This window comes from Homo sapiens, chromosome 16, assembly GCF_000001405.40.
Source record: "Homo sapiens chromosome 16, GRCh38.p14 Primary Assembly".
NCBI classification, from domain to species: Eukaryota; Metazoa; Chordata; class Mammalia; order Primates; family Hominidae; genus Homo; species Homo sapiens.
Genome location: NC_000016.10, coordinates 79,737,938 through 79,752,899, shown reverse-complemented (window position 1 = coordinate 79,752,899; position 14,962 = coordinate 79,737,938). Strand labels below are relative to the sequence as shown.

The 14,962-nt window shown below is 38.8% G+C and overlaps 1 long non-coding RNA gene across 1 annotated transcript in view; it reads left to right on the top strand.

The window, feature by feature from the left end:
* Window positions 1–14,962, top strand: part of MAFTRR (MAF transcriptional regulator RNA) — a 49,221-nt gene that overhangs the window by 17,633 nt on the left and 16,626 nt on the right. Inside the window, exons 4-5 of the long non-coding RNA NR_104663.1 lie at window positions 1,624–1,686; window positions 12,663–12,753. This is a non-coding gene — a long non-coding RNA (MAF transcriptional regulator RNA). The remainder of the gene's footprint in view (window positions 1–1,623; window positions 1,687–12,662; window positions 12,754–14,962) is intronic.

Below are 14,962 nucleotides of genomic sequence, written 5' to 3'. Positions count from 1 at the left end.
AGGAAGTGGAGAGCCTCCTAAGACCTCCCTGGGGGTCCTTAAGCAGATCCCCTCTCTCAGTTCTCACAAGTGTGAGAGATCACCAACTCTCGTTATTTTAAGATAATAAAGTCAGGTGTTGTTCTTCATGCAAAAGAGAGGTTGAATGTCTTATCTGGGGCCAACCAGTGACTTTGTGCGAGATCAGATCTGGATGAACAACAGTTCTATAAAGGACCCGTACAAAGGTCAGCTCTCCCTGTATTCACTTCTAGTCTCCTGGTACTAAAAACAAGTTTGAGCAGGATCTTTTTCACAGGACCTTGCTCACTCAGAGGCCACTGGGCAGATGACTTCATCATCTTTCATGTAGATATTAAATTTCAAAATCCCTAAGCAATCATATGGGAATACTTATTTTGAGTCTCATAATTCATTGCACATACATTCATAATCACAAAGAGAAATTTCAAAAAACCACTTTTTGGTGTGAACTGAGCTTGATATGTTTTGAGCACTATCTGATTCACAAGAGTTACTTAAAATAGATGAATGCAAAATGATGTACCCTCCAGAGGGATTTTCATACTGGCTTGCTATATAGCTGTTTGATAAACTGGACTTGCATTAGCATTTTTGGGGTCATATTGAGAGGGCTCAAAATATACCTATCCTCATGACATGGGCCCTCCCCTTGACCAGGAGTGTGAAAAAATGCACCCACAGCCTCCATCATAATGTTTAACTTGACTTGAGATCTTTCCCTCAATACTGGGGATAGTCTAATGTGACATATCTGCAATTAAAGGGTGATGTCAGTTGACACCATGCCACAGAGACCAGTTAAACATTGTTCCTTAGAAAATAAGAGCAGGATTCAATCCTAAAAAACATTGGTAGTAGTCCAGAGACTGAGTCATTTGGCGCACTCGGAGCGTCTCAGCTAGCTGGAACACGTCAAGAAGCACAAGCTCCCTTCACACCATGGAAGCAGGAAAGCAAGAAGTAGGAAAATGTAATTTCAAAATAACATACTGTTCTAGGCATCTACTATTTCCCTCACAATTCAGGTCTAATCTTATTCATGGGTATTAACCCTGGTACTGCAGTTCACCACCTCTGCTGGGTGGAAAAAGTGAAGAGCTGCACTTCTATATTCTTTCCATATTCAACACAATGTTAGGTGCTTGCATTTTTTTCTCTTCTTTGCTTCTTGCAAAAGAGCTGGGAATTGAAAGATTAAATCTACTTTGATTTATGGGCACCTCCCATTTTGATGGGAATACTTGGAATGTACTATATACTTGTAAAATAAATGACTTAATGGAAACTTAAAAGTGTACCCAAGTGACTCTGTGCTCATGTTTGCTGGATTGAAATTTCATGCAAAAATAAAGATATCTAGTATGGAAGAGAGATACTATGGCTACCCCTCTAGGGGGAGAATGCAGTTAACTTCCTGCAGGAGTTTTTTTATGGCTGATGTAGCGAATTACCAAAAACTTGGTGTCTTCAAACAACAGATTTATCATCTTAGAGTTCTGAAGGTCAGAATTTTAACATGGGTCTCACTAAAATCAAAGTGTCAGCAGGACTACATTCCTTTGAAGCCTCTCAGGAGAACCCATTTCTTGCCTTTTTCAGCTTCTGGAGTCTACCTGGATTCCTGGGCTCATGGCCCCTTCCTCCATCTTCAAACCAGCAATGGTGAGTTGAGTCTTTTTCACATCACATCTCTCTGTGATCATCTTCTGCCCTCTCCTCCATTTTTAAAAACCTTTGTCGTTAGATTGGACCTGCCTGAATAATCCAGGATAATCTTCCTATTTTAAATTGAGTAGATGAACAACCTTAATTTCATCTGCCATCTTAATTCTTTGCCAAGGAAAGTAACATAGTCACAGGTTCTGAAGATTAGGGCATGGAAATCTTGGAAAAAGGGCACCATTTTGCCTACTGTGATTTCCAACTTATCCTATGAAGTAAATCATACCACGTAAATTCCAAATGCAAAGGAGTTCTTTTCCATCTGTTTTTCTACAAAGAAAAACAACTGAAATTGGCTTCATACAACAATTACATGACTAAACTTCCAGTTATAAATTTATAGTAGAAAGAGAAAGGTGTTTTCTGATAATGCATTTTGGTTAAGAGCCAAAGAGTCTTCACTAAACATTTGCTGAAAATACTGTTATAAACAATGACTATTAAAGTTAAATAGTCATCAAGTTAAGTAAAATTCAATTTAACTTAAATATTTATTAGGAGTGAAAGCCAACATAAATGTTGAAAACTCAAATCCTTATTTCTCAACTGCCTCCTCATTTTTCCACAATGTATTTCTGGCTGTTCGGAGGTAATTTCCTAGGTTTTATTAACCTGTAACAGAAGCAGTTTACAGCTGAATCCATGCCAGAGAAAAACTCATTTGCAACCCGATGTCGCAGCATCCAGGGCCAAAGGGATTGAAAGAAAAAAAAAAAGCATGAACTCAGAAAACCTAGTTGCCTGGAAGCTGCAACGGGACTAGAAAAAGAGGGCCACCCCAAGAAATGTAGGTAACCTGATCCATTAGCAACATGTCAGCTTTTCTTTGCTAAAAATTTCCAGATAAATACAGTATACATTTAAAAAAATTATTAAGTGACTAATTTATGCCTAGCATGGTTTCAGCTACTGAGAATACAGTCATGCTGTGAACAAGGAAGACCAGGTTTCTCCCTTTGTGGGGTTTATATTCTTGTAGAAGGTGTTAGACAACAGAAATGTAAATGCTGAAAATAATAAAACAATTTAATTGTGAGTTTTAACAGCTAGGTCTCTGTCTCTGTCTCTCTCACACACACACACACGCTACTAAACCCATGACACAAATGGAATCATTAAGGAGAATTTCATACAGGACTATTCATAAAGGTATGAGTAGGTCCACAGTGGACAAAGGAAGGATGGTGCAGTACCCCAGAGCTAGCAATTGCAGGGAGCTGTTAGCAGAACCAGGCTTGAAGGAAAGGACCACCCGATTCAAACCCAAACTTCAGAAGCAGCGCGTCCTTAATCCATGGCAGCCCAGGAGGAAGGGGACTGGGGACATCATTATTCTGATTCATACTCCTATTGCCTGACTGCCCTCCCCCAGCTAAATCCAACTGGAAGCCTGAGATTCAGGGAACCCACTACTGCAGTCCATAAGGATCAGCCTCCCTTGGCACAGAAGAGGATGGGGAAAGGTGGAGCCTGTATAGCTAGATGAGCAAACCAAAAACTTCCAGCACGTACTGGTATGTGGAGATGCACTGGAGTAACAAAATGGGGTCTGGTTGGGTATGGGATGGTGCACTGAGATTATTTAGGCGGAGTTCAAGAAAGATTTCTTTTAGAGGGTGACATTTGAGCTGTGGCCACAAAACAAGAAGAGGCCACCAAGGTACGGTAGTATGGGCAAAAAGGACCAAGTGCAAATGCAAAGGACCTAAGGGAGGAATGAACTTGGTGTGTTGAGAAGGGAAAAAAGTTCAGTATGGGTGTAACCTAGTCAGGTAGGAAGCAAAGTGTAGATGAAGTCAAAGAGATAGGTGGCAGCAATGTCAAAAAAAAAAAAAAAAAAAAAAAAGCCTTGTCTTAGGTTGGGGCTCGCCATAAGAAAACCACAAGATGAAGGTTTGAGTACAAACAGCTATTTGGGAGGGCACAATAAGGTGAGTGGGAAGTGAGAGAGGGAGGGGAAAGATTCCAATTAAGGGTGTGTTATTGACCTGGCTACCATATGGGGCTCAATCCTATGGGGCTGTACACAGCACGTTGCACACTGCTTCCTCCGGAGAGAAGTGGGCTTCTTACTCCTCCACCCATCTTAGGCTCCCTAAGGAGCCTAAGATTAAATTTATTTGTACTTCCTGGCTCTTCTGAAGAAGGCACAATCCCCAGGTGAGGAGTTGCAGGTGTTTGCAGTGGGATGCTGCTGGGCAGGTGTGATCAGGAAGGGTAAGTGCTGGATGACAAGGGTCGGGCACCCTCAGAGTCTGCTAAATGTCTGAAAGTCATTTGGACTTTTTCTAAGTGTGACGGAAAGCCATCAGAGGTGATAAATTATTCACATTTGCTCTCTAACTGGGCTGAGTCATTAGAGTATAGGGGTATGAATGGGTTACTTTTATTATTATTGAGATATAACTCACATACCATAAAATGTACACTTAAAGTGCACAATTCAGTGCATTTTACTGTATTCATAGAATCATGTAACCATCATCACTATTTAACTGCATTATGTTTTCATCACCCCCAAAAGGAACCCCATACCCATTAAGTCATTCTTAAATGGTCATATGGGGAAGATGGTTAATGATGGTCTCAGTGTCCATAAAGGAAATATTGGGATAGAGAAAAGAGTATTGGCTCCTGAGTCAAACACCCGCAGCTTTTATTACTGTACCTCTTTCCGGCCCTGTATCTATAGCATGTTGCTTCCTTCCCTGACTTCAGTGTTCTTATATATAAAATGGAGGTAGTAGTGTCTCGGTGTTATAGTTTTTCTGACAATTGCAAGCACTCTTGTGAATAAGAGTGCCTGCCCCATAGTCAGCTCTGACGCACTTTAGATGCTATAATCATCACATGTTATATACAAATTGGGTTGGGGATGTTTGCTTCAGATAGGAAAGACAGTCCCACGAGAGTGTAAAGTCCTATGTTTGGGAAGAATGTAAGACTTAGAAACAAAAGAGTAATAATAAGTTATAAGGGAAGTTTTGGTGAGTTGAGGCAGGAAGCAAAACTTCCTGAGAAGGGCTGGTTTGGGGTGCTGTTTGGAGTGTTGTCTTCCAGTCAAGAAATACAGAGATAGAGTGACAGATAGCAGCAACCCCAGGCAATATGGAACTTGCACACCCGAGACCAGAAGTTGCTGGTGACCCATGGAAAATCACCTAGCTTTGTCACAGACAAGGTGAGCTCAGAAAAAGTGCTCTGGCCAGGGTGATGGGGAAATGGACTGATATTAGGAAGAGGTATGAGGTCACTCAGGGAGCCAGGGTGGGGCAGGGCGTGACTCAGGAGGGAGCTAAACTCAGTAGCTGGGCTGTTTACCTATCATTTATAGGCCCGCATGTATCCCCTTCCATGAGTCTAAATACGTGGCTTGGCCAAGAGTGGTGTTGCAAATGAACTGACACTGAAGAGGGGGAAGGATACAGAACAACGTGGCAAAAGGGGTGACGTCTACTCCACAGCACTTTAAAAGCAAACACAAAACTCTATCCCCAAGTCAAGGAGTAAATACTATCAGTTTTTCTCAGATGCTCTGAGAATATTGTAATTACATCAAGTTCCCATACCTCTGACTACCACAAATAATCAATGACACTTATTTATAGAGTCCGTACCAACTTTATCATGCCCTGCCCACCATTCTGGGAGCTTGTACAATAAATGATTCATAGTTATGAAGGGTACCCCATTTGGCATATGGGAAAACTAAGCACAGAAGTCTAATAAGTTGTCCAAATTCTAAATAGAGCTGGGATTTGAACCCTCGAAGTGTAACTCCACAGCCTGCACTCTTTGACACCAATGAAATATCAAGATGGGAGTATTTATCTAAGAAGTCACAACACAACAAGGTGGACGGTGCCAAATTACCCATTTTTACAGAGACGCCAAGATGTTAGACTCTCATGCACTCACATTTTCTTCTTCCTCCTCCTCTTCTTCTTCTCCTCCTCCTCCTTCCTCCTTTCTCCTTCCTCCCCTTCTTCCTCTTCTTCTTCTTCTTCTTCTTCTTCTTTTCCTCCCTCTTCTCTCTCTTCTCCCTCTTCCCTCGTCTCCTTCTCCTTCTCCTTCTTCTTCTTCTTCTTTCTTCTCCTTCTTCTCTTCTTTTCTTTCTGGTTAATTCCTTCAGTGTCCTAAGTACATAATATAATATAATTGAACAACAGAAATAGAACCTACACCCTGGAATGTGGGCAGTAATAAAAACACCAAAATCAACCATCCACCCTTCCATCACGGCCTCACTGGCTCCTCCTGGTGCATTCTGGAGCCTACAAACCAAATTAGGAAACCATTCACTTCTCAAGGCTGAAGCTCACCCCTTAAGAAAGACCTCAAAGAAGAGACACAGGAGTAGAGATGTTGAGCAAACATTCAACAACCCTGCTTTGAACGCTCCGTATCCCCTAGCTGGAAGCTTTACAACATTACACCAATTCTGAGGCAAGCGGAGACGGTGAACATGTACCCCTGAGGCTCTGGGGACATCACCACTAACTGCCATAATTTTGGCAGTTTCATCACATAATCTGACAGTCCCAGTTTCAACTTCAAAATCTTGCAGGTTTTGCATTCATCTTCATAATGTGGCTATAAAGTTATTGTTTAACAGTGAAGGTGCAGCTGGGCGTGGTGGCTCACACCTGTAATCCAAGCACTTTGGTAGGCTGAGGCGGGTGGGGCACCGGAGGTTGGGAGTTTGAGACCAGCCTGACCAACATGGAGAAACCCTGTCTCTACTAAAAACAGAAAATTAGCCAGGCATGGTGGCACATGCCTGTAATCCCAACTACTTGGGAGGCTGAGGCAGGAGAATCACTTGAATCCAGGTGGCTGAGGTTGCAGTGAGCCAAGATCATGCCACTGCACTCCAGCCTGGGCGACACAGCGAGACTCCGTCTCAAAAAAAAAAAAAACAGTGGAGGTGCTTTTTTCCAAATGGCCTGGGATTGGGTTGTGGCTCCAACAATTTCAGGTTGAATAGATATGAAATTTAATTTCTCTATGCCTCAGTTTTTTCCTCTTTATTAAATTATAGAGATGGTATAATGTTGTTGTGAGAAAAAAGGTAATAAATACCTGAACCCCGCTAAGATCAAGGTCTGATGTATAGTAAGCATTCAGTACATGTTGTCCTTTATATATTTACCCAAGAAATAGTAAATAAATGTTAATAGAGACTTGATACTGTCCTGGGTTTTGGAGAGACAGCAATTTTAAAAAATTGAAACAGTTAAAGAAAAAGAGTCCCTGTCTTCCTGGAGCTTACAGTCTAGTGGTAAGAGATTATAATAATCTCCGATCTCATGAACAATTTAACAGAATGATGGTGTTTTATATTTTTACTAATAAAGCAGCCAGCCTCTACCCTCTTAACTTCTCAATCTTCTTTGAAGATTGATAATGTAGAAGGATGCCCAAGTTTTGTTTCCTGCATTCCCATACTTGCTTGCTGTCTGCCTCCATTTAAGGAGCCGGGGTGCTAGGGGACTTCGGTGAAGAACAGAATCTCTACTAAGTGCCTCAAGAGCAGGATCACGGGACCTAGAATCAGACTGCAGGGCTTCAAATCCTCACTCTGCACTTTCTAGCTATGGGACCTCAAGCAAGAATCTTGACCTCTCAGTTTCCTCATTTGTAAAATGGAAACAATAATAATAATACTGATAATACCTATTATATATCCGAAGGTTGCTTTGATTACCAGTATTAATTCATTTTGCAATCACCAACATGATTGCAAAATGAACCAATATATGTAAAGTTCTTAGAAAAAGTTTTGGCATAAAACCAGTTCTCAGTGTGTATTAGCTTCTACCATTTTAATTATTATTGTTTTTATTATATATCATTATAATTATTTTTATATATTCAATGCTAACCATGAAGTGTGTACTTAATAAATCTTTACTGAACTAAATAGGAGATGGTGCCTGGCATGGAGATACTCATGGTCTAGTGAGAAGAAAGACATGAGGATAACATACAAACATCCAAAGCAAGCTGATGAGTGCTAAGGGTGGCCTGAGCCAGCCAAGGCCAAGCGCACTGGTGGCACGATTTGCCTTCCCTCCCCACGGTTCATGCTTTGTCATATATTGAGAAACCAAAACTTGTGAAAGTCTCCTTCCCAATTCAAGGAAGACTCAATAACTCATCTTCCCACATCAGGGAAGATGATGTGGGAAGATGAGTTATTTGTTTTGTTTTGTTTTGTTTTGTTGAGATGGAGTTTTGCTCTTGTTGCCCAGACTGGTCGTGCAATGGCACGACCTCAGCTCACTGCAACCTCCACCTCTTGGGGTCAAGTGATTCTCCTGTCTCAGCCTCCTGAGTAGATGGGATTACAGGTGTCCGCCACCACACCTGGCTAACTTTTGTTTTTTTTTAGTAGAGATGGGGTTTTACCACATTGGCCAGGCTGGTCTCAAACTCCTGAGCTCAGGTGATCTGCCCTCCTCGGCCTCCCAAAGTGCTGGGATTACAAGCGTGAGCCATCACTCCTGGCCAGAAGATGAGTTATTATTTCAACTTATGTTATAAAGTGTGATAAATTTTTTATTATGTATTATATAAATTGTGATATTATTTAACAAATTGTGATGAATTTCATATAATATAAAATTTACCGTTTCAGACAGTTTAAAGCGTACAATGAAGTGGTTTTTAGTATATTTTTGATGTTATACAATCATCACTACTAATTTCAGGACATTTCCATCCCCCTAAAAAGAAATTACTTACTTCGCAATTACTTCTTCTCCATCATCCACTGGCTACTACTATACTATTTTATGTCTTCCTGGATTCATCTATTCTAGACACTTAATATAAATAGATTTATACAGTTTTTGGCCTTGTGCATTTGGCTTTTTTCACTGAGTAAAATGCTTTTAAGATTCATCCATGTTGTACTATGCATCAGTGCTTCATTCCTTTTTATGACTGGATAATATTCCATTGTATGGATAGTCCACATTTTGTTTGCCCATTCATTGATTGGTAGACATTTGGGATTTTTTCCATTTGTTTGGTATTATGAATAATGCTGCCATGGCATTTGTCTACTAGTGTTATATGGATATATGTTTTTATTCTTTTGGATATATATTTAGATGTGGTATTGCTTAGTCATATGGTAACCCCATCTTTAGGTTTTTGAGGAAGTGACAAAATTTTCCACAGTGGCCGCTATATTTTACATTCCTATCAACAGTGAATGAGGGCTCCAGTTTATCCACATTCTCACCAATACTTGTTATATTTCTTTTTTCTTTTTAATTATAGCTATCCAAGAGACTGTATACTGATATGACATTATAGTTTTCATTTGCATTTCCCTGATGATTGATGATGTTAATCATTTTTTATGTGCATTTTAGCCGTCGGTATACTTTCTTTAGAGAAATTCCTGCTCAAATCCAAGTCCATTGCATGTATTTTAATTAGATTGTCATTTTATTGCTGAGTTGTAAGTGTCCATCATAGATTCTGGATTCTAGACCCTTATCAGATGTATGGTTTGAAAATATATATATTTCCTTCCATCTGTGGGTTACCTTTTTTACTTTCTTGATACTATCCTTTGATGCACAAAGTTTTTAATTTTGTTAAAGTACAATTTATATATTTTTTCTTTTGTTGTTTGTGCTTTTGGTGTCATATTTAAGAAACAATAACATAATCCAAGGTCATAAAGATTTATATCTATGTCTCCTTCTAAGAACACTATGACTTCCGTTCTTATATTTAAGTCTTTGATCCATTTTCAGGTTCTTTGTATAAGGTGTGAGGTAGAGGGTTCAAATTTATTCTTTTGTCTGTGCATATCAAGTTGTTCCAGTACCATTTGTTGAAAAGACTATTCTTTCCCCATTGAACGGTCTCAGTTACCTTGTTGAAAATCAATTGACCATGGATATTTAGGTTTGTTTCTGTATTCTCATTTCTATTCTGTTGATCTATATGTCTATCTCTTTGCTAGTACCACAAAGTTTGATTAATGTAGCTTTGTATTACATGTTAATATTAAAAGTGTGAGTCCTTCAACTTTGTTATTCGTCTGGACTTCGGTTATTCAGGGTTCCTTGCATTCCCATATGAATTTTAGGATCAACTAGCCCATTTGTGCAAAAAAAAAAAAAAAAGCAGTTATAGTTTTGATAGCAGTTGTACTAAGTCTATAGATTAATTGGGTACTAATGTCATTTTAACAATATTTTCTAGTTTTCCAGTTCACTAATATGAGATGTGTTTCTATTTATTTAGGTCGTCTTTGATTGCTTTCAAAAGTGTGTTGTAGTTTTCGGTGCATAAGTCTTGTACTTTCTTGGTTAAATTTATTACCAAGCGTTTTATTCTTTTCGATGGTATTTTAAATGTAATTGTTTTTTAAATGTTGTTTTTGTATTGTTCATTGCTGGTGTACAGAAGTAGAGCTGATTTTTATATTAATCTTGTATCCTACAACTTTCCTAAACTTGTTTATTAGCTCTAATAGTATTTTTTATGGATTCTTCAGGATTTTCTCTACATAAAATCATGTCTTCTGCTAATAGAGATAGTTTTGCTTCTCATTTCAATCTGGGTGCTTATTCCTTTTTCTTACCTGACTGCTTTGACTGGAACTTCCAGTATAATATTGAATAGAAGGTGGAGAGAACAGACATCCGTATACTGTTTCTTATAAATAAAATGTCCAGTCTTTCACTGTTAAGTATGACATTAGTTGTGTTTTTTTTTTTAAATAGAAGCTCTTTATCAGATTGAGGAAGTTCCCTTCAATTCCTAGTTTATTGTGTGTTTTCATCATGAAAGGTGACAGATCGTGTCTGATTCTTTTTCTGCATCTATTGATATGATCCTGTGGCTTTCTCTCCCTTTATTCTATAAATATAAGGTATTACATCAATTGATTTTTAACAAACCTTGCATTCCTTGGATAAACTGCACTTGGTAATGATTTATAATTCTTTAAATAGGCTGGTGGAGTTGGTTTGCTAGTATTTTTTTGGGAATTTTTGTGCTAGTGTTCACAGGGGATATTGATCTATAATTTTCTTTTATTGTGATTATTTGTCTGACTTTGGTACCAAGGTAATACTGGCCTCAGAAAAAGTTCAGAAGTGTTCCCTCTTTTTCTATTTTTTGTAAGGTTTGAGAAGAATTGATGTTATATTTTTTAAATGTTTGGTAAAATTTACCATAAAGCCACGTGATCCTCAGCTTTTCTTTTTTAGAAATGTTTGTTGGATTGTTGGTTGGTTTTAATTATTGACTTAATATATTTACTTGTTATAGGCCTATTCCGATTTTGTATTTCTTCTTTAGTCGGTTTTGATAGTTTGCATGTTTCTAGAAATTTGTTATATCCAAGTTATCTAATTTGTTGGTATACAACTGTTCATAATATTCTCTTTTAATTCTTTTTATTTCTGTAAGGTTGGTAATGATGTCCCCACTTTCATTTATTATTTTAGTCATTTGGATCTTCCCTTTTTGCTTGGCTAGTCTAGCTAAAATATGCCAATTTTGCTGATCTTTTCAAAGAGCCACCTTTTTGTGTCATTGATCAGGGTTTATTTTTGAAGGGAGGTTTTCACTTTATAATATCTGCTTGCAATTTGAGGGAGATTATATTGGTTTCTGCAATCACAAATGTACTGTTCTCTAAAGTGCAGTGTTTAACAAGTGATGTCTCTGTATTTGATGAATGGAGTAATACATGTACTGACTTACAGAGAAAATTTTCCCCCTTTTGGTTAAATGATGTTGGCTACATTCTGACAGATGAAAACTTGAGCAGTTAATAAGGAGAAATTATTGCTAAGGACACTGAAATGTGTTACAATCATTTTAGTGCTTATATTTTCTGCCAAAGATAAGTTAAACCAAATATAAATCTGCAAATGTAAACAATTACTTTATGTCATCTTATTCTCAAATTCTTCCTCAATTTTTTATTTTTTATTTTTATTTTTATTTTTTGAGATGGAGTCTCGCTCTCTCACCCCGACTGGAGTACAGTGGCATGATCTCAGCTCACTTCAATTTCCACCTCCCGGGTTCAAGCGATTCTCTTGCCTCAGCTTCCTGAGTAGCTGGGATTACAGGTGCCTGCCACCACGCCTGGCTAATTTTTGTATTTCTAGTAGAGACGGGGTTTCACCATGTTGATCAGACTGGTCTTCAACTCCTGACCTTGTGATTTGCTCTCCTCGGCCTCCCAAAGTGCTGAGATTACAGGTGTGAGCCACCGCGCCTGGCCAATATTTTATTCTCTAGGTACAGCACTACCTTTTTTTTTTTTTCTTTTTTTGTTTTTTAACAGAAGGCCCATTTCATCTTATCCCACAAACCCATAGAAATCTCCCTTTGGGAGGTAAAACCAGAAAAGAAGTCCTGACAAATAGCTACACGGCCTTCCCTTTTCCAGATCTGAAACTTTACACAGCCTGTCTCCTCTGCCTCATGACCTGATCTATATCTAGCAAATTCCTATCCATTTTCTTACATCTTTCAGAATAGAGAAGGGTCAAGAATGCTGGACTTGTTTTTGCCAGAACAATCTTTATGAAGAGCATAAAGCAGGTGGACCTTGATCTACTAATTGCAGAAAAGCAAATACATGGTCTTGTGCACGAGGCAGGTCAGTCATGCGTGAGTGATGGTCTGGGCAAAGGGTTAGTGACAGGAAAAGCTGAATTGAGAACCAGACATCACAGGATAGCTCAAGATCTGAATATAAAGTCTAAAATGACCTTCACCTCCCTGCCAGATACACACACATGGGTGCACGAACACGTGCCATACACAAGTACACATACAGACCACGAAGGCCTTCCTTTCAGTCACACAAAAACATATGACTACCTGTGATCTGAAACCACTTTCTTTTGCATTTGTCTCCAAAGGAAATGGAAATGAAAGCAAAATGGAAGGACGTGAGGTCCTTATCCTTGGAGATCCTATGGAGTCTCCACAGACATTCCTTGAAGAAATCAGGTATGATGGATGCTAATGCAGAGCCTGGCGTTTAGCAAAAGGGAGTCCTACATTTCGTGAGCTGGATTATGTGTGTTTGTGTGTGTGTGTTAGATCGTCTACATAAACAACCACCAGCAATTCCTCCCATTCCTGTACACTCATGCCACTACTTCTATCAAGAATAGGAGTCTCCTTCTCTTGAATCAAAGCTGTTCCTGTGATTGTTTTGACCAACACAGTGCAACAGAAGTGATACTGTTTCTTGGGAAGCCTGAAAGTTTTCACGTTTGCCTTTTGGAATCCAGCTGTTATTGAAAGAAGCTGGATAGACTACTTAAAAAAAAGAGAGAAACAATGTGGAGAGAAAAAACTCATTTGCTTACTTCTATAAGATCTTAGGTGGTTTGACTTCTTAAAAACATGGCTTTCAATTTGAAATAAAAGTAAAATAGCTGTGTCTGTTAAGTGCTAGATAGGGGTGCAACTGCACACTGGTCTGTGAAGTCATGTCTGCATAGCCTACACACAGCTTCCAGAAATAGGCTTTCAAGACTTGGTTCAAGATGCCCTTAAATATGTCTTTGTTTTCAGGATGATGAACATAATGTTTCTTAGAGAAGCAGAAAGTCAACACTTGGGTCACATGTTCATCTCTTCTAGTCTTGAATACTTCTTTGTATGGGGAGCTCATCAGCTTCCAAAGCAGAAGTTCTACATAGAGACTACTCAAATGTAGAGTGAAGTTCCAACAGAATTCCAGCAGAGCCACAAAATCAATCCATGTCTCATGCGCATTCCATTCTCTGTTCACACTAATCACTCCAAAGGAGAATTAAGGGACTAGGCAAAACTCGTTAACTTTCTCAGGTCCTCTGGGTAAATGTCAAATGACTGTGAAAATGGGACTCTAGTGAAGGAGAGAATGGGGCTCTCTGGAGTCTGACTCATTCCAGCTAAGAAGGTTGGGACTTTTGAGGAGGATCCAGGTTCCTTGACTTATTTATCCAGATTTATTCCATTCTTACTCATCCATTTGCTCATTGCATAAACATATATCCATTATTGATCAAGTGCATGCATTGGGAAGTATCTTTAAATACATTAATGCTCATCTTCAAAACACTGTACAGAGTAAGTATTTTTATCCCTTTTACAGTAGATTCAGAGAAGGACTTTGCAACAGTCACACATTTAGCCATGGCCAGAGTCAAAAATCTTACAAGGTCTTTGTATTTCAAAGCTCATGTTGACTCTGTTACCCTTGTGTTACCCAAGTGACATTAGACTGAAACATCTAGTTTCACCTATATTACAATTTGCTTATTTAAAAAAATTTACTCACTCTTTATAAATAAATTTATTTTAATAAACTCTACATGGTTAGCAAGAGAAAAATCATACATCGTTTTAAATATCATAGCAATATTACTGACCACAAATGGAAAGGAGCAATGAAAATGAAGCTGAATTGTTGGGTTTTGGTTAGATAAGAGGCATTTTCAAGGGCTTGAGCCTGAAGTCTGTTCTCACTGTTATAAAGGGAAACTAGCAAGTGGTACCCAGAGGTATTAGAAACATATTGACACACAGCTGAGACTTTTCCCCCCTATTATTTAAATGAGGAAGAATAAAAGAGAATTCAAAGGGCAATGAGTTCTCAACAGGCGTTAGCGACCTTCCTTTTGTGCACCTTCTAAAACCACCCCCATATCACTGTCAAAGAACTGCGGCTGTGTACGGTGTTTCTTCTCTCAAGAGTGCCTTGAAAGATCTTGAAGAGACAGACAAAATCCAGACAAATGCCATGCAGTATGAAAAGTATAATGTCATCATGCTCTCCAAACTTTTTGATCACGAACTCTTGTAATAAATTTTTGAACCTATGCTCTCTACATACATTTATAGTCCCCCTTTTAAAATGAATATATGTGCAAGGGCATGCCAGTATTTTACGCATCTTGTAAAGCGAACAAAAGTATAATTTTTTTACAATAAATATTTTTTTTTCCCAAATTACTCAAAAGAAGGCCATGAGTTGTCCCATTTGGGAGACTACGGGTTAAGGTGGAAAGTGTAGGGAGCACAAATGGAAGGCACCCAGCTCACCAAAAAAGATGAAATGGAGGCTCAGACAAGGCTCTCTGATGGGGGGTTCACATGAAATGATCCTAGTGTCAGCAAGATAGACAATTCAGAATAGAAGGGGCCAACCCAAGTGGGCATCCAT